The 20432-nt window shown below is 42.3% G+C and overlaps 1 protein-coding gene across 3 annotated transcripts in view; it reads left to right on the forward strand.

Annotated features, from left to right (window-relative positions):
• MACO1 (macoilin 1) overlaps positions 1-19957 on the forward strand; it is a 69313-nt gene extending 49356 nt beyond the window's left edge. For 2 of the 3 annotated variants that reach the window (NM_018202.6, NM_001282564.2), the window contains 5 exons: positions 3864-4022; positions 5361-5543; positions 8921-9041; positions 11158-11332; positions 18012-19957. In NM_018202.6, the coding sequence (NP_060672.2) occupies positions 3864-4022; positions 5361-5543; positions 8921-9041; positions 11158-11332; positions 18012-18214 (841 nt within the window). In that variant the 3' untranslated portion in view covers positions 18215-19957. Of the gene's footprint in view, positions 1-3863; positions 4023-5360; positions 5544-8920; positions 9042-11093; positions 11333-18011 lie in introns of those variants that run through there. The other variant, XM_005245931.3, reaches the window with a different exon arrangement.
• The last annotated feature ends 475 nt before the right edge of the window (positions 19958-20432 follow it).

The following is a 20432-nucleotide window of genomic DNA, read 5'->3' on the forward strand; positions in this document are numbered from 1 at the left end:
GCATGCCATTAGCCATTGGGCAGTGTTCTTGTAGAGCAGTGTTTCTTAAACTGGGAATGCTGGTGTTAACTCTCAGGCTTGCTGCAGCAGTTTGGAAAATAATTCACAATTTGGAAAATAATTCAGTTTTACAAAATTCATGGTAGCAGTTATGAAAATCCTGAAGTATTTTAGTTCTGTGTCTTATGAGATTATTTTATTTTTTAAATAAACCTTTTCTTATTGAAGTATAACATATATACACACCAGTGCACAAATCAAGTGTTCCATTTATGAATTTTCACAAAGTGAACACATTCCTGTAACCACTTCATTTTATTTTTGTTGTATTGTGCCACTGTTAGTCTTTGATAAAATTTTTATATAAGCTTCACATTAAAAAATATATTGTTGGCTGGGCACGGTGGCTCACACCTGTAATACCAGCACTTTAGGAGGCCAAGGTGGGTGGATCACCTGAAGGAAGTCAGGAGTTCGAGACCAGCCTGGCCAACATGGCGAAACCTCGTCTCTACTAAAAATATAAAAATTAGCTGGGCGTGGTGGTGGGCACCTGTAATCCCGGCTACTCGGGAGGCTGAGGCAGGAGAATTGCTTGAACCCAGGAGGGGGAGATTGCAGTGAGCTGAGATCAGCCTGGGCAACAGAGTGAGACTTGGTTAAAAAAAAAAAAAAAAATATATATATATATATATATATATATATATATATATATATATATATTTCATGTTCTTTGGTCTTCAGAAGTTATAATCTAGATATTTTATGCTTTTTGGTCTCATAACTGCATTAGCTCATTGGATTTTTACATTTTTCAAGGAACTCTAAAATTTCGCTCAGAATAAATATTGTTATTTTTAGTTTGTGGTGGGAAAAGATTAAAAAATGAAAGAAAGTAACAACTACAAAATTCTCACAATCTAGCCTCTACAGATTTAATTTTTCTTTCATTCCCAACTGTGGCATATGTTTTTCCCCAGCGACTGGTTGTGTGGAACTTGATTCCTGTGCATCTGCATATGATGCAGCTTAGTTTGCTAATCTAAAGAGGCAAATCAGCAGCCATCTGTAAGTGTGTCAGGCCTAGAAATCCTAGCCCAAACTGGGAGGAACTTTAGAGTTATCAGCCGTAGATGAGGAAACTGAGGCCTGGAAGATTACACACCTTGTGCAGGGTCAGAGAGTTGGCGCCAGAGCTGAATGTAGAACCCTGATCCTAAACTCTGTTACTAAACCAGGCTTAGCCCCTATTTTCACCTAAAAACTCACCCTTTCTACTGAAAATGCAATCCTCAGACTGTGAAATCAGCTTCTGAAGAAAGACAAATTACCTAACACATTTTCAGCCAAATTTCTCAAAGAGGATAGCCTGACAGCATTGACCTCTTTCGGAATATATTCTTTGGGCTACTTAGGAGTGAATGAGAGACAGTATGGTGATGGTATAAATGCCGATCTGTAATTGTTTAGAGCAGTTCTGAGAGTACATTCAACTGGAATAACTCTGGCAATAGGGAAAGTGTGGTGTGATGTCGACTTGTGACCCTTCCCTGGGGAGCAAGCTGTCAGGACACCCAGCGGTGCTTTTGGAACAAAAGGTTTCTAGGCCATGCTCCCAGGCACTGGACAGGAGGACTGGCTACTTGCACCTGCAGGGTGACTGTCAGTGTTTTATGATTTGGGGTTTTGGGGGTTTTTTAAAGTTGCCTAAAGGTAGATATGTAAATAAAGCTGCCCTATGTCAGGCAACATTTATTGAGTAAGCGTTGATCACTGTGGAGGGCTCTGGGGATTTAGTGCTTAATAAAACATGTCTCTAAGACTTAGTCTTTGGAGCTGACAGTTCCAAAGAGATCACCATTGCCCTTCAGAAATCTTGGTTCTGTTGGTATGTTGAATTAGTGACATGAACAAGAATCTCATCAGAGCAAACTGACTTTACCTACTTGTGAGTTTGTATCCTGATGGAAAAAGCCTCTTCTAAATAAATATTGTTATTCCTAGTTTGTGGTAGGAAGAGATTTAAAAAATGAAAGTAATAACTACAAAATTATTGAGATCCAGCCTCTGTAGATCTAATTTTTCTTTCATTCTCAACTGCAGCTCACATGGCAGCCATCCTTGACCTGACCTTCAGCACCACTCTCCACAGTCCTATCTACCAGATCTGTTCTATCCTTTCCTACTCTCTCCCCAGTACAAGCTTTTCTCAGAAGCCAGACTAATGGCTTGCCCGCACATGTCTATGGCTGTTCCTGCCTTTGAGTTTTTTAATACATTTCTCCCCTCATTTAGAATGTCCCCTCCTCTTCTACTTCTCCAAATCCTATCCAAACATCAGGGCCCAAGTCAATCTCTACCTGCTCTGCAAAGCCTTTCCCAGTCTTCTCTCCTCAGACTCACATAGCACTTCTTCCTCTACCATGCTGTGGATGACATGGCTATAGTTTGGCCTAATGGTGAAGAGAATGGACTCTGGAGCTAGACTGCCTGGATGACCTTGGGCTGCATCCTTTCCTAGCCTAGAGTTCTTCATCTGTAAAAATGGGAATAGGAATTGCATTTGGCCCATAGTTGTACAGATTATAGGATTAAACCCTATAGAACAGTGCCTGGCCCATAAGTTCTCATTAAATAGTAGCTGTTGTTATTATTCCTTCTGGCATATATTTAATCATGGCCTTCCTTGTCTTATTGTTTAATCATTTAAATTATGTATTTCTTGGTTCCTATTTCTTTGTTCCTAATTGTGAAGTTTTCCCATGAAGAAAGAGACTTGATTTTATAGTTTTCGTTTGTTTGTTTTTTGTTTTTTGAGACAGAGTCTCACTCTTGTCACCCAGGCTGGAGTGCAGTGGCATGATCTCAGCTCACTGCAACCTCCACCTCCTGGGTTCAAGTGATTCTCCTGCCTCAGCCTCCTGAGTAGCTGGGATTACAGGCACGCGCCACCATGCCCAGCTAATTTTTGTACTTTTAGTAGAGATGGGGTTTCACCACGTTGGCCAGGCCGGTCTTGAACTCCTGACCTCAGGTGATCCGCCTGCCTCGGGCTCCCAAAGTGCTGGGATTACAGGCATGAGCCACTGCGCCTGGCCGATAGTTTTTGTTGACCATTTTCAGCACTACATATGCATAGTAGGTCTCCAATACCTGTCACTTAAAGTGAAACTATTACTGCAGTAAAGAAAATAGATGGAACAAGAGTAAGGAATTGACGAGAAAAGATAGGCTTCATTTTACAGATGGAGTTCTCTTATGATTCTTAGAGCATGTAATTTGTTCCTTTTTTCATTGTTATTGAGTCTCGTGAGCTCTTCTGCCGCAATCACCAGAGTTGTGAACGTCATTCAGCAAGGATGCTGCAATTTCTGGAGGTCGTCGCAGACCGTTTTCTTCTAGGCCCATGGTGGGACGCAGTCTCAGACAGTAGATTCTGATTTATCAAAATATCACAAAGCATTAAGTGGTAGGTCATGTGCTAGTTGTTTGAACATATTTCCCTTGCTGAGGGCATGAAAAGCCACCAGAAGGGAGCCTTTAGTCTTCAGCCACCCTCTCTGCTGTCCCTTTCTCCTTTATCAGCAGCTCGGATGGATATTCACAAGCACCATACTCACCTGTCACTATTCATAAACAGGGGGAAGTTGAAAGTTACACCCCAGTAGGAAGAGGTAGGGACCCAGGTGGAATCATTCAACAAAATTAACCCAGTTGCAGACAGGAGTCCTCATCATGGCAGGAACTGCCAGCGGGGTCCTTTTTCTGCCATTCACCCAGCAGTCCAGGACCCCCACCAGGTCCCTCCCAGCTCTGTGGGTGCCCTCACCTAGATGAAAATGCTGCATTTCTCATTCTCCTAGGCTGGAACAAGACATTAAAAAGTTAAAGGCTGACCTGCAAGCCAGCAGACAAGTGGAACAAGAGCTCCGCAGTCAGATCAGCTCCCTTTCGAGCACCGAGCGAGGGATCCGCTCAGAAATGGGCCAGCTTCGGCAGGAGAACGAGCTGCTGCAGAACAAGTACGTGCACCTTTCAGGCCTTTGGCCGTAAGCCCGGCAGCTTCACTGCTTCTCCTGTTGCCAGGGGTTGGAGCACAAGATTTATGGTGACAGAGACCTGCTGAGAGGTTTTTAAATAAAATGTTTAAAATACTTTATTTAGTACCAGATATTCAACATGTTTATAAAATCTATAAAAACTTATTTCATTGCCACAAAACAGTTTATTAATATTACTGTTTTTGTCTTCTCTCATTTAATAACTTCTTAGTTTAAAATAGTTATTGAGTTTTTGGATAGTAAAATTGACAAGAAGTAGTTCTGTCACATTTTGAAAATTTTGCTCCTTTGAGTGAAAATTTCTAGAGGATTTGACTATATTTACTTTTATTTCCAGAACTAAAAGATGACATTGAACTTTGATTTTATTTGAAAAGGCAGGCAGAAAGCCAGGTCTTCTGTGTGAATTCATTTAGGCTTTTGATTAGTTCATTCTGGAATTACTTCTTAACTCAGTGTAGGTCTGTCCTTTTTTCTTTTTTTAAATCTCCCAGCAATGTGTGCCCGTGGTAGTGATGATCATTACAGGCTGTTGGCTTTCTGGGCTTTCCCTGTTGAAAGAGGAGTTCAACATTTTTAAGGAATGTAACTCAAAAGCTAGGGCATTACAGGCAAATAACCTCTCCATTGCCTCTGACCAGCATTTGTGGTGGTTCTAGCATTGATATGTAGAGAACATCCCAGTGATAAACTCACCTCATGCTGATAGGTAAAGCTGGGGGTGGTAGTAAGCAGGAAATATGGCTGAAATTTCTATCTGAAATTAAGCATCCTGTGACTCTAAAAGAGGATTTGGGGACACTGTGAGCAAACATCCTGAGCTGGAAAGGAAAAGCTGTAGTAGGCTACAGCAAAATTGTATTCAGGAAAAATAAAAACCTTCCCCTTTCCACCCCTTACCTTAGTTTCACTGGGGCTGGTCCCATCAGTGGTTCTTTGGTGGGACTGAAGTTCTTTCAGGGTGCTCTGGAACATTAGAATTAGTTCTACAATTATCTTCCCCTCTGTTCAAAATTTGTTTTACCCTGTTTTCTGGATGACCTTTTGTAGATCACTTACTTGAACAGAGCAGAGGCTAGGTCTTAATCTCTGTTTTGTAAGGCAGCTTGTTTATTGGTGTTTAGGAATTATTAAAGAATAACAGTGTGTTTTCCTCAGGCATTCTGGGCATTGACATTTTTGATTTGCTGTTCAAACCTCCTGTTTAATTGGCCTTAAGGTGATAAAGAGATGTTTCTCAAGGGTTTATAGTGGGCATTTGTAATTTTAAGACTTTATATGACAATCATTTCCATATAGGTTACATAATGCTGTGCAAATGAAGCAAAAAGACAAGCAGAATATCAGCCAGTTGGAGAAAAAGCTAAAAGCTGAGCAGGAAGCCCGAAGTTTTGTAGAGAAACAGTTAATGGAAGAGAAAAAGAGGAAGAAGTTAGAAGAAGCCACTGCTGCCCGGGCTGTTGCGTTTGCTGCTGCATCTAGGTATGTCCATGTCACCTGAGTGTTTAATCCAAGGTTGGCTTTCCTTTACCAACAAAGACATGGGAATTTGGTGCCTTGGGCAGGATTGGACGTACAGCAATCATGCACGGATGGATTGCTTTTAAGTACTGTTTTATTAACTGGTTTAAACTCCATGTGTGCAAGCTTGCACTATCTTATAACAGCTTTATCCCTCAGTGACCTCATCTATAAAGTGGGATGAGGGAATCACCATGTTTCCCATACCTGGGAGGCAAAGTACTGCTCATAAAAAGGTTTCCAGTCACTTTTTGTCAGACTGATGATTACTAAATGCATTGAGAGATTCTATCTGGAAGTTCGTTCCCTTTAGAGAGCTATCATTACTCTCCACTCTTAGGTATATGTGTTTCTGAAGTTTTTATCTTAAAATGGAAGAAAGATAAAATCTTGGTTGCCCAAGCACTGTGTACTGGCTGCTCAAATGGATATCAGCAAACTGTCAAATGAAATGGAAAAAAAAAGTGAAACATAAGTCTCTACTAGATGGAATTACATTTATGGCATAATGAAAATTGGGGACTACCTCCTATACCACTGGAAAGTACCCCTGTGTGCAAGTATTCCAAAAACTATTAGATAGTTAAGAGCTTTTTTTTTCTTTTTGCTTCTACTTCACTTATCACTTTTTCCTTTGTTTTCTTGACTAGTGAAGTCCCTCTGCATGTGGGAATCAGTTAGGTGTTTGCAGATATAGAGCGAGGGTAAATTATTATTTATTTCACTTTTAAATTCCATCCTAATTTGTATCTACGTGGTATAATTCAACTGTAATTTTTCCTTGAATTTTGCTTTGTCGTAATTAAAGTTAAGTAATTTAACTTTTGGCATGTTGATAGCCTTCTTTGTGGGTTCTGGCATTTGCAGAATAATTGGTGAATCATTTCACCTTTTAGGAAATAACAGCAAGTGAGAACTCTCTCCTGTGTGATCCTGCCTCCCCCCAGCAGATGGCTGAGCTGGCTTGGCCCATCAGCATCTATACAGACTTACAAGGCCCTTGACTAGCCTGCCTACAATGTGGGATTGTTTGTTTGTTTGAAGATGTATTTGCATTCTGAAGCACTTAAACTTGCAGGAGATGTTCTTGAACAGTCATCTAGTGATGACTGCTCTCCTCTCTCCTCAATTCATACAGCACCTGCCCTTTCTGAAAAATTCCACTCAGGAGGACATAGCAGTTCCTTAACGATATTGCTTAGTGTCTCCCATGCCTGAGAATCAGTAAGTTGATTTCAGTGTCTACCCCAAATCCCTTTTGCTTCCAGTTAAGCTTATTTATCTTATCCCTGGATAGTCCTTGTTTTTCATAACTTATTCTTTTTTTCCTTCTTTTTGAGACGGAGTCTAACTCTGTCACCCAGGCTGGAGTGCAGTGGCGCGATCTCAGCTCACTGCAGCCTTTGCCACCCAGGTTCAAGCGATTCTCCTGCCTCAGCCTCCCAAGTAGCTGGGATTACAGGCTCCTGCCACCGTGCCCAGCAACTTTTTGTATTTTTAGTAGAGACGAGGTTTCACCATCTTGGCAGGCTGGTCTCGAACTCCTGACCTCAGGTGATCTGCCCACCTTGACCTCCCAAAGTGCTGGGATTACAGGCGTGAGCCACCACACCAGGCCTGCCATAATTTATTCAGTAAATCTCAGGGCATAAATCTCTGACTGGACCTTCCGTTTTGGTAGGCAGAGAACACCTACTTTCTTCATTGGGCTGTTTCTGGAACCTAGACAGTACCAGCTTTGGACTGGCCATTGCCATCATCTCTTTTAGCTCAACCTTATGATAGCCCTGAGAAGCAGCTCAACAGTGTGCCCTTATTTTTCTGTTTACTCCAGTCTTGTGGCAACTTTATGACAAGAAAGACAAAAGTCCCAATGCGTAGCCCCTCAAAAGTGGGGGGAAAATTTTTTTCTAGTTCACCGCCCCCTGCTGGACATAGTACATGTTCAGTTCTATCTGGCTTTGTGTGTATTGTCTCAAGTCTCATGGCCTGGTGGGAAGTTTGCTGGATTGGGAAGCCAGAAAATCTCAGTTCTTATCCCTATTCTAAGACCTAAAAGCTAGGTAACCTTGAACTAGTATTTTATCTATGTAGCCTCAGTTTTCTTATCTGGAAAATGGGATAAATATACCCTAGGTTGTTATAAGGATTGAAGAAGGTAGTATGGGTAAAGTACCTTAGTGTCTGGCTCATCTAGACACTCAGTAATAATTATTGTATATATGTATGTATTTTGAGACAGGATATCATTCTGTCACCCAGACTGGAGTGCAATGGTGCAGTCATAGCTTACTATAACCTGAAACTCCTGGGCTCAAGTTGTCCTCTTGCCTCAGCCTCCTGAGTAGCTGGGACTACAGGCATGTGCTACTATGCCCAGCTATTTTTTAAATTTTTTGTAGAGACAGGGTCTCTCTGTGTTGCCCAGGCTGATCTCAGACTCTGGGCTCAAGCAGTCCTCCCACCTTGGCCTTGGGAGTGCTGGGATTACGGGCATGAGCCACCATGCCCAGCCCAGTTATTTTAGAGTATTATTGAAATTATCAAAGGACACAGAGAACTGAGCAGACTGAGCCAAAAGCTAAAACCTGACAGACCCTGGAGTATAAAAGAAATTAAAAGAAATATAAATCCCACAATACAAGTAAACCTATAGTCTTTTTTTTTTCTTTTTTTTGAGACAGAGTCTCACTTTGTCACCCAGGCTAACGTGCTGTGACACCATCTCAGCTCAGTGCAGCCTCTGCCTCCCAGGTACAAGCAATTCTCCTGCCTCGGCCTCCCGAGTAGCTGGGATTACAGATGTGTGCCACTACACCCAGCTAATTTTTGTAGAGAGAGGGTTTCACTGTGTTGGCCAGGCTGGTCTTGAACTCCTGACCTCAAGTGATCCACCTGCCTTGGCCTCCCAAATTGCTGTGATTACAGGCGTGAGCCACTGCACTCGGCCAACCTATAGTCTTTTTTAAAATTTTATTTATTTATTTATTTATTTGTTTTTGAGATGGAGTCTCACTCGGACGCCCAAGCTGGAGTGCAGTGGCACGATCTGGACTCGCTGCAACCTCCACCTCCTGGGTTCAAGCAATTCTTCTGCCTCAGCCTCCCCAGTAGCTGGGACTACAGGCATGTACCACCATGCCCAGCCAATTTTTTTTGTATTTTTAGTAGAGACGGGGTTTCACCATGCTGGTCAGGTTGGTCTCGAACCCCTGACCTCAAATAATCTGCCTGCCTCGGCCTCCCAAAGTGCTGGGATTACAGGCCTGAGTCACAGGGCCCAGCCCCAACCTATAGTCTTTTAAATCACTTTATTTCCTTCTCTTCTTTTTCAAAAGGGGAGAATGCACCGAAACCTTACGGAATCGGATCAGAGAACTAGAAGCAGAGGGCAAGAAGCTCACGATGGACATGAAGGTGAAAGAAGACCAAATCAGAGAACTAGAACTAAAAGTCCAGGTAAGGGGGGAACAAAAGACTTCCCTTGTATTTGAATTCCACTTTTATGCTAAACTTGTGCTCTGTGTTGCAGTGTAGAGATGATGCCTTTTAATATAGATCAAATCTCATTGCATCTGAAAAATCTCTATGTGACAAAAAGATTTGAAGTTCTAATCTTGTCCAGCTCATTTCAAGTCATATTAATGTAGCCAGATTCTAATACAAACCAGAAATGTTGACAATCCCTTGGTATGTTTTATACCAGGATTTAACTTGCTGTAGATTCATTTAACTTTTTCAGGTTATAGGCCAGATTAGTGTCCTTTGAAACTTACACACCTCCTTTTAGCCCCAACCCTCTTTCTATTGCCAGGGGACTGACCCTCCTGCATGGCTCTGAGCCTTGCAGATTGTTGTTCATAGCAGTGAATGATAGGAAAGGTGCTAGTGCTATGGACGTAGCCTGTTTTATGGGCTGTGTATACTTTAGCCAAATATTTGTCATTTAAACTAATGTCATATATTGTAAAGTTACAGTAATTTGAGCCAGGTGGGACAAGTGAAAAATTACTGTCAAGTCAGTGGACTAGAATGATGGCCTGGAGTACAGTACCGAAAAAAATACGAAAAAAAGTAAAGGTGGCATCAGAGATAGATGGGAAAGGTAACGATTAGTCAGTAAAAGGCTTTGGAATAGCTAAATAACTGGAGAAAAAAAATTAGAAACTCATCTCATGCCACATATAAAGAAATTCCAGATGAAGAGTTGAAGGCAGAAAAAACAAAGAATAAATGAGTTTTTAAAAACTAGGTGGAAATATACTTGACCTTGAAACAAGGGAAAGATTTTCTAAACATACAAGCAATGGGAAAAAATCACAAAGCAAAAATCATAATAATAAATGAAAAAATTGATTGGGGAAGGTATGAATATTGCAACAAATATTATAAATAAGGAATTAATATTCTCAACATATCCGTAGCTCATAAAAGTTGCTAAGGAAAGCTCATATATATAGCAAAATAGGCTGAGGATGTGAACAAATAATTCAGAGGAAATACAGGTGACTGATAAGATCATAAAAATATAAACTCACCAATCATCAAAGACATGCAGATTAAAAGTAGATATCATTTTTCTCCTATGAAATTAGCAGATGATTTTTAAATGAGAATATCAATCATGGTGAGGATGCAACAAAATAGGCCTCATACATTGCTGGTAGAAATGTAACTTTCTGGAAAAGGTCTTGCACTTTTTAAGTATTTACCTTTTTTAGGAATCCAGCCTAAGGTAAACAATTTTAAAATCTCACCAATGAGTGATGTACAGAGATGTTCATCGTAGTGGTATAAAAATGCAAAAAAATTGAAAACAGTCTTAACAATGGGAGAGTCATTTAAATTTTGGTATGTAAACATTCAGGAATATTGTACAGCCAATAAAAATTTTATTTTCAAACAATAGTTAAAATCATTTAGTTTTTAAAAGACTATGTACAAAACTGTACATTTAATATTTCACTTCTGCTAAAAGATACACATATGCATAAAAGATTAAAAGAAATATTAAATTTTTTAGTGTTGGTATTATGAGTAATTTTCATTTTCTTCTTTGAATTTTTCTATATTCCTAAATTCTCTGTAATAAGTTTGGATTTTTCTGTTAAAAAGAAAAATTCAAATATCTGTATATATTAATTGTTTACATTAAAGTGGGCTTATTCTGCAGTATGCCCTGTCAAAATAATTAACATTTTTACAATTATTAATGCAGGTTGAGTTTTGGCAAGTTCGATTACAGCATTATGATAATTTGCACGTGGCCAGCAAGGAAAAATGTTTTCTGTGGTTCTGAATTAAGCTTATAAGAAAAGTGTTTTATTTGGAAGCAGATTCCATTGTTTTCTAGACACATGCCCAGCACAGTCAAATGATCATCTTCTAAATATTTTTGTATGTGCTTATTGCCATATAAACACATTTAGCACTTGCCTAAACCCATGAAACACCAGATTTTGTGTTCTAGTGGCCAGACCAAGAATAGTGGGATTTAATTTGTGATTTCAGGCTAATTTATAGACATCGATGCCAAAACTACCTTGTAGCATTGCTGTTTTGATGATATTGATAGGAGCTTCGGAAATATAAGGAAAATGAGAAGGACACTGAGGTGTTAATGTCAGCCCTCTCAGCCATGCAAGACAAAACACAGCACCTGGAGAACAGCTTAAGTGCAGAGACGAGAATCAAGCTGGACCTGTTCTCCGCACTGGGCGATGCAAAGCGGCAGCTCGAGATTGCCCAAGGTAGGAGAACGTGGGCCCCTGGTGAGGTGGTGTGACTGATAATGCACAGGGATGCACAGGCCAGACCTCTCCTGAGAGCTCTCAACCAAGGGGCATTTCAGTTTTCTCTTCAAGAGTCTTGGTAAGTGCCCAACATTGAAATATAGGAACCATCACATTAATTCATTTGCAGACATATTTTGAGATGAGAACATGTCAAGTGCAGGGCATACAGAGAATAGTATGATTTCTACATTCAAGGAGCTCACAGTGTTGTTGAAGAAGTAGAGAACTGCAGAGGCATCAAAAGGTGCTTAGGTATAAGTATATACGGGGCCTGAGGGAACATAGAAAGAGTCAGGGACGAAACTAGTCTGGGGAATTGGAGAGGGCCTCTCCCCAGGGGAGCTGATGTCTGAGGTGGGCCTGAATGATGAGGAGTTGGCCCAGTGAAGCAGCAGTGTGGTGGAGGGTGAGGGGTAGAGGGGTCCACACAGAAGAAACAGCTTAGGCAAGGGCTGGGAGCTAGTGGGACTTGATGTGTTCCAAGCTGCAGCCAGCCTGCTTGGCTGAAGCAGAGGATACAAATGAGGGAGCTGCAGGTGAGAGTCTGGAGAGTAGGCCATGGTCATCTACTTGGCCGATATTTACTGAGACCTACTTTGTGCCAAGCACCATAAGATGACTTGAAAATACAGCCCTGGCGATGACAGGTGATGAACAAGCCAGCAGGGAGTATGTCAGGTGGCAGTTGGTGCAATGATAGAAATAAAGCCATGGCGAGACAGAACGTATGTGGCAGGGGTCTCCCTTTTTAACAGGGCAATCATGGAAAATCCCTTGAGTAGGTAGTATTTGAGCAGAGACCCAAAGGAAGAGAGCAGGAGTGAGCCGTGTAAAGAGCTGGAGGAAAGCACTTCCGGGGAGGGGGCAGCAAGTGAAAAGCCCGGCAGGGGGAGCGTGGGTACTCTGCAGGCAGAGGGTGGGGGTTGTAGCCTGTGTGATAACGGGGAGAGTTGTCAGAGCAGACAGGAGTAACAGCAGTCAGACTGTATGGGACTTGAGGCCCATGGAAAGAACTTAGGGTTTTACCGTGAGTGCCATAGGGGAGCACTGGAAGGCTTCTGAACAGAGGCATGGCATGACCTGAGAAAAATAAATTTGGATTTTTGTCCAAGAAATTGATTAGCTATCCAACCAGAGTACTAAATTGAGTATAGTACTGAAAAAATAGAGTACTCTATAGAGTACTAAATAGAGTACTGCATAAAATAGAGTACTGAAAAGAATTTTCAAATGGTTGACTTAGTGGAAAGAGAAGAATATTTCAAGCAAGGCATGGTGGTTTGTGTCAGTGCCTGCCCATAGTCCCAGCTGCTCAGGAGGCTAGGGCAGGAGGATCACTTGAGCCCAGAAATTTGAGACTAGCCTGGGGAACATAGCGAGACCTTGTGTCTAAAATAAAGAATATTTCAACAGGGACTGACAGAGTAGTCACACTCTGTGCAAAGCATTGTCCTAGAAGCTCTGGGGGAGACAAACATGAATACAACATGGTGTGTGAACTTTTGTCTTAGGGACCCCTTTACACTCTTAAAATTATTACCCCAAAGAGGTTTATTTCAAGTGGATTATATCTATCAATATTTACCTACTAGAAATTAAAACTTAAAACATTTATTTATTTATTTTCAAGACAGGGTCTTGCTCTGTCACCCAGGCTGGAGTGCAGTGGCACAGTCTCAACTCACTGCAGCCTCGACCTTCTGGGTTCAAGTGATCCTCCCACCTCAGCCTCTCCCTAGTAGCTATGACTATAGGCATGTGCCACCATGCCCAGCTAATTTTTTTTTTTTCTGTTTTTTTTCTAGAGACGAGGTCTCACTTTGTTGCCCAGGCTGACCTCGAACTCCTGGGCTCAAGAGATCCTCCCATCTCAGCCTCCCAAAGTGTTGGGATTGCAGGCATGAGCCACTGTGCTCAGCCAAATTAATTTATTATTCATTTAAAAATAACATACAAACATATTACATGTTAATATAAATAACTTTTTAATTTGAAACTCTTATTTTCCAAAACAAAAAAAAATTCCTGAAAAAAGTGGCATTATTTTACATTTAGCAGATCTCTTTAATGTCTGACTTAACAGAAGATAGTTTGATTCTTTTTTTTTTTTTTTTTTTTTTTGAGATGGAGTCTTGCTCTGTCACCCAGGCTGGAGTGCAGTGGCACGATCTCGGTGCACTGCAAGCTCCAGCTCCCGGGTTCACGCCATTCTCCTGCCTCAGCCTCCCGAGTAGCTGGGACTACGGCGCCCGCCACCACACCCGGCTAATTTTTTGTATTTTTAGTAGAGATGGGGTTTCACCGTGTTAGCCAGGATGGTCTCGATCTCCTGACCTCGTGATCCACCCGCCTCGGCCTCCCAAAGTACTGGGATTACAGGCGTGAGCCACCGTGCCCGGCCAGATAGTTTCTTATCTCTGTTTCTACATTCATTCTGTTGTGATTTCACACTCCACCTAATTTCTAGAAGACTCCACTTACACTTTTGACAGAATGAGCATGAAGAAGGGAAGTAATGTCTCAGTACTATTATGAAGGTAGTTTTGAGCCTGTGGACCCTGACTGTACTTTGAGAATTGCTGACCTAGGGTGAGCCCAGCAAAAAAGTAGAGGCATGAGGTAGAGGCAGGGGGCTAGAAAGGCCAGAGGAAGATCAGGGAAGGCCTCGTGAAGGAGGGGGCATTGAGTGGGCTTTGATGATGAATTTCAAGAGCAGAGAATGCCAGGGAAAAACATGTTGCCTGAGGAAGTAGTATAAGCAAAGGAAAGAAGGTGCCGGGATGTTCAGGTGAGCAGTCCGGCAGCCTTAAGCTGGGGGCAGGGAAGGAAAGAGTGGGAGGGTAGGGGACCATGAACGAAGCCATACTAGAGAGGGTATTCCCTAGATCTTCCTGAAGGAAGAAAGAGGGGACGTGTTCAGACTGTTAAGCGGGAAATCTCCCTCCTATAGCATGTGAAAGACCGATGGAAGGGGTGAGACTGAGTGGAGACAGACTGTGAGGAAGCTACCACTGTCCTCTATCTAAGAGATGATAAGTATGGGGAGGGCGGACGGGCCAGACAGGTGAGTGGAGAGTGGAGGTTCCTGAGAGTTCTGGAAGGACAAAGTTGTTGGAACCAAGGAAGGGAGAGCAGAACAGATACAAGGAGTGAAGGAAGAATAAGTTTGGTTTTGGATGTTTTGATTTGAAGGTACTCCCCAGAAACCCAAGTAGGAAATATTCCTCAGTCAGTGGGAACTTTGGGCCTAAACCAAAGACGGAGGCCCAAACCCCTGGGAGTAAGGGGTTGGATTTAGAAGTTGTGAGAAGTTAGTGAAGCGCAGGAGTGGCTTGGGATGGCACAGGTGATTGAGCAAGAGAAGGAGTTTGAGAATCACACTGCTTTAATCTGTGGACTCGAGGAAAGGCATTTAAGAAGGTTCCCAGGAATCCTGCTTTGAAGCCGAGCTTCTGACCTTACACTGACTTTTTTTGCCTGCCTGGCTTAGTTCCCTGAGGAGTGGCCACCCCTCAGTGCTTCAACCCTGTTTACTTGGTTTTGCAAACTTGGAAAAGATTCCCCCTGGCGTGAAGCAGCACCTGGCCTCAGAGTAGCCAGAGGAGCTTGGCTTCCCAGCTCAGACTGTGTGCTCTGCTGTCAGCCCAGAAATCCTCCTGAAGTGACAAAGAAGCCAAAAGAACTTTTTCCAAAGCACTGGGTATGTTTTCCTGTTACTGATTAAAGAAATCAAACTTAAATCGGCAGGGAAAAAGATACAGTGGCTTATATATCAGATGCTTTTAGGTATTTTATTCATCTGAGGCTTATCTTGTTCAAAGAGAAGGTGGATATTTGATGCTTCCTTGAAGCTTAGGGGACATGAAGGAAGTGAGGGGGGCAGTTCCTTTCTACTGCTCTCACTGCTGCCTTCCCCACTCCCTCCCTACAGGGTTGTGCTCAGGATATTCTAATAAGAACCCAACTTTGTAATTTAAATCAAACCTCTTGTTGCTTTTCTCCTTCCTACTCTCTATATCATTTGATACATCCTGGTTCCAAAATGACTTTCAGGCCAGGCGCGGTGGCTCACACCTGTAATACCAGCACTTTGGGAGGCCAAGGTGGGCGGATCACAAGGTCAAGAGATCGAGACCATCCTGGCCAACATAGTGAAACCCCGTCTCTACTAAAAATACAAAAATTTGCTAGGTGTGATGGCACACGCCTGTAACCCCAGCTACTCGGGAGGCTGAGGCAGGAGAATTGCTTGAACCCCGAAAGTGGAGGTTGCAGTGAGTAGCAATCACGCCACTGCACTCCAGCCTGGCGACAGAGCAAGACTCCATCTCAAAAAAAATGAACAAAACAAAACCAAAATGGCTTTCATCTCTACTACATCCTTTTAAAAAATATACCGCCAAGCTTTCTTATATTCCAAATAGATTATTGTCTTCTATAGGACCCATGAGCAATCTCAAAATAAATGCAACTCAAATGCAACCTTTTTCTTTTTTAAGCATTTTTGTGGGCTTTTTTTTTTCTTTTTCTTTTTTTTTTTGAGACAGGGTCTCTGTCGCCCAGGCTGGAGTAGAGTGGCACAATCTTGCCTCACTACAACCTCCGCCTTCTGGGCTCACGTGACCCTCCTGCGTCAGCCTTCTGAATAGCTAGGATTACAGGTGTGAACCACCAAGTCTGGCTAATTTTTGTATTTTTTGTAGAGACAGGGTTTTGTCATGTTGCCCGGGCTGGTCTCGAACTCCTGGGCTCAAGCAGTCCACCCACCGCGGTCTCCCAAAGTGTTGGGATTACAGGCATTAGCCACCACACCTGGCCAGCATTTAAGTTTCTGAAAGACTACTCCTAAGTGTTCTAAGTGCTTTTACATATACCAATCATGTCTTTCTTCTGGTCTCCCTAGAAGACCAGGAAGCTACATAGAATGATGAAAGTCATGTGAGGCTTTGGAACAAAGTGGTCCTGGGTTTAAATCCTGCCCTACCTTTTGATAACTAAATGACTTTGAGCAAGATACACAACTTGTAGAACTCCACTTTTTACTGGACTGGGCAATAGGGAGCTAACAATGGAAAAAAAAAAAGGGTAGACACAGTGTCTGCCCTCATGGAACTCATGGTCCAGCAGAGAGACGATGGACACAGATCATCACCAAATGAATAGTTGCCAGAGATTGAAGAATGCTGTAGGTAGGAGTGTACATTTGAAACAGACTGCAGGGAATTGAATCCTGGCTCTGTCACTAGCTGTATACCTTGAGCAAGTCACTCAACTTCTCTATGCCTCAGTTTCCTCATCTATAAAATGGATAATAATAATTCCCCCATCATGGGGTTGTCGTAAGAAAGAAATGAGTTAGTATACATAAGCATTTAGCATGCCTGGCATATATGAAGCCCTATGTGTTAGTTTTTGTCATTATAAGTGACAGAAAGGGAAGTGGAGGGTGTGTTAAGAATCTAGGAGTTAGACCGGGCGCGGTGGCTCACACCTGTAATCCCAGCACTTTGGGAGGCCGAGTTGGGCAGATCACCTGAGGTTGGGAGTTCGAGACCAGCCTGACCAACATGGAGAAACCCCGTCTCTACTAAAAATACAAAATTAGCCAGGCGTGGTGGCACATGCTTGTAATCCCAGCTACTCAGGAGGCTGAGGCGGGAGAATCGCTTGAACCCGGGAGGCAGAGGTTGCAGTGAGCCGAGATCTCGCCACTGCACTTCAGCCTGGGCAACAAGAGCAAAACTCCATCTCAAAAAAAAAAAAAAAGAATTTAGGAGTTGTAGGAAGCTAATTTAGACAGGAGGCTCAGGGAAAGTTTTGCTGAGGAAGTAGAAACAGAATCCTCAAGATTTAGCTAGCTTCACAAAGAAAGCAGGAGATACACAGGACAGGAAGTGGCCCGAGGTAGGCAGGAGCTGACTGGATCAAGAAACTGAAGCGTAGTGAGGGCAAGTGTGCTGGAAGGCTAAATAGGGTGATGTTGCTAAAGCAAGGGCAAGTGATGTGGGTCACACTAGCGTTCCTCCCAGTACAGCAGCCACAGAGCTTCCTCTGTTTTGTCAGAGAACCTGGTGGCAGAAGCGTATTACTGTGACTGAGTCTGAGGCCTTGGTTATGCTGTATTCCTTGGTCTGACACTCAGAGATAGTCTGTCCTCTCAAAAAAATTCCAGCTCAAGAGGTGGAGCCAGAGTTCAAAATCGCCAGCCCTCTTACGCTGTCATAGCTGACTGCCATGTTCAAAACGTGGTTCCTGGAAACTGACTTCTTTACATCAACCACACCTATATGAACAGAATCCCTTCTTAGCTCTAAGCCAAGAATCAGTAAACTGTGGCCCATGGGCCAAATCTGGCCTGCCACCTATGCCTGTACTGCCTGCCGATGAAGAATGGTTTTTACATTTTTCCATGGCTGGGAAGAAAAGATGACAAAGATAGTAAGTACACTGTATATGGCCCACGACACCTAAAATATTTACTGTGTCCCATTACAGGACAAGTTTGCCTGCTCTTATAAATCACTGAACCTGGAGCTGTTCACACTGAACCGAATCTACTTAGGGATTGGCCCCTGGGGACATTGTGTTGGGTGAGGCCTCCCTTTTCACTAATGGTGGGTCTTTGATCTTACAGGACAAATCCTTCAGAAAGATCAGGAAATCAAGGACCTAAAACAGAAGATAGCCGAAGTCATGGCCGTCATGCCCAGCATAACATACAGTGCCGCCACCAGCCCCCTGAGCCCTGTTTCCCCCCACTACTCTTCCAAATTTGTGGAGACCAGCCCCTCTGGACTTGACCCCAATGCCTCTGTTTACCAGCCCCTGAAGAAATGAAGGCCAGCTGTGTGTTGTGCCCAAAAATTTGGTTACCGGAAGGCATTGCAAAGGAGCGTCTCTGGCAGTCAAGATAAAAAAACAGTTTCTATTGTATTTTGTGGAACTGTATCTGTTGTCATTTTTAAAAAGGGGGGAAAAGATAACATCCAAGTCTGATTAGAACTGCCCATCAGTTTTTCTTGTAAATTTTTAGAAGACCTCACAGAACTTTACAGTTTATTTTTCTCGGCCAACACATTAAAACCATTCTTGGATTTCAAGTAGCCAACTTTGCCTTTTATGTATTCTTACATAGTTTCCTCTTGAAGAAAAAAAAAGCAGAGTTTTTGTTTTTCAACCCTTTATGTTTGTTTTGTTTTATTCTTAAATAAGCAAGCAAAACCTGCACATTGGATTCACGTGAGATGATAATGAAAACTTTTAGTTTAAGAGTGAAGGGTTAAGTAACCTAACAGAGCTTTGATGTTATAGCTGCATTAAAGAAGGTGATTGTCAATATTACAGAAAACAAAAATGGATTGCCCCTCCAAGGACCAAACAGATTCAAGGAGCATCATTTAAGCTAAGAAGAGACCTAAGTGATGAAACTAGCTGTAAGAATGTAACAGGGGTTGTGTTTGAAATATTTATATTCCCATCGGTGTGTTTAGTCCTAGAAAATTGCTAGCAGCAGTCTTCTTCACAGTGCCTTGGGAAAAGACATTTCAAGAGGAAACTTGATAATTTTAAACTCTTTTCCCCCTTTACCGTCATCTATCCTCTATCTGTATCAAGCTCACTGCGGATCCTGCTGTAAAACTGGTGGGTAGCTGGGCTGTCCGTTACCACCACAGCTACATCTTCTGTTTCTTTGAATAGAAAGCACCACAGTGTTTTGCACTTGCCTCCAGTAAAGTGCCCTGGGAAGGGAGCTGGGCAGTGTTTGTGGACGAGAGACTGTAACGATGGCTAATAAAAGCTGCGGGTCTAGGTTTTTTTTTTTTTGTTTTGTTTTTTCATTTCATTTAACTGTGCTTTCTCCACTTTTCATCATTTTGTGTTTGATGATTTAAAAGAAGCTTGACTATTCCTCAGCTCTTGTGCCAAGGAGGGTTTTTTTTTTTTAAGACTCTTAAACTCAAAACTCTGCACAAAGATTTCAGTTTCAAATGTGTATTATACATGGGTAGAAAAGTGTTTGCACAGGCAACTTTTGGAAGTGTTTAAGAATCAGGGTGGGGGTGGCGGGAGGGACCGGGTGGGGGCAATGCAAAATTGTATTTGGAAACTAGGAAAAATTAAGAAACCAAATAAATTGGTTTTGCTTCCTTGCCATGGATTCTGGAAGGACATAGTTCTTCTAAAATTTCCTGTTAATTGGCATGTACGTCTCATTTAAAGCAAATTAAGTAGGACAAGCAAGTCAGTAAAATAGAAGTATTAAAAAGAATCATCCTTTAAATCACAGATCTTATTTTGAGATTAAAAAAAATACTTCTAGCTTTAGCCAGGTGTGCATGTTGCTGCCATTTTGCATTTTTGAATCATCTTGTGTAATTGTCACCATGAAAGTGTTACTCAGAATTGTCATAGATTTTCTCTTCTTTGTGCAAAAACATGGAAAATTGTCACTGACTTTGTTTTGAGGTTTCCCCCATTTTGCTGCCTTTTGGGACACTTCGTTAAATACTGGTCTTGGCTGCATTCTTTTTTTTTTTTCCTGTGGGGTTCAAAAGAATAAACATTTTCTTACAGATAAAACTAGTTTTCTGCCTTTTTAACTTTCAGGAGAGCACAGCAAGGTAGATTGTTCTGAGTGGGGCTTAGCCGGTTGCTATCTTGTTCTCATCTCGGCCTGCATCAGGTGGGGGTCCCCCCACACAGCCGATCCCTGGGTAGGGGGCAGACCCAGGATTTGGGGGAGACCCATCAGGATCTCAAGTTGGTTTGGTTTCTGTGCATAAGACATGTCCATTCTCATTTGTTTTCTCCCTTCTCTGGCATCTGATTAGAGCCAAGGCTGACTTGTTTTCTGGTACAACCCTCCTTTCCTAAGAAAGCAAGTTAGGGGTGGAGTTGGGGGGTAGTTGGTGAGAAAATCTTGAGAGCAAATTTCCTTCATCAATGCCTTGCCTTCTATTTTCTAGAATCTTGCTTGGCCACTTAGTGACCAATACTCTATTGGGTTTCCTATCTGCTATAGATCCTGAACTAACCTACACTTTTATCATCCTCC

Source organism: Homo sapiens, chromosome 1 (assembly GCF_000001405.40).
Source record: "Homo sapiens chromosome 1, GRCh38.p14 Primary Assembly".
Taxonomy (NCBI): domain Eukaryota; kingdom Metazoa; phylum Chordata; class Mammalia; order Primates; family Hominidae; genus Homo; species Homo sapiens.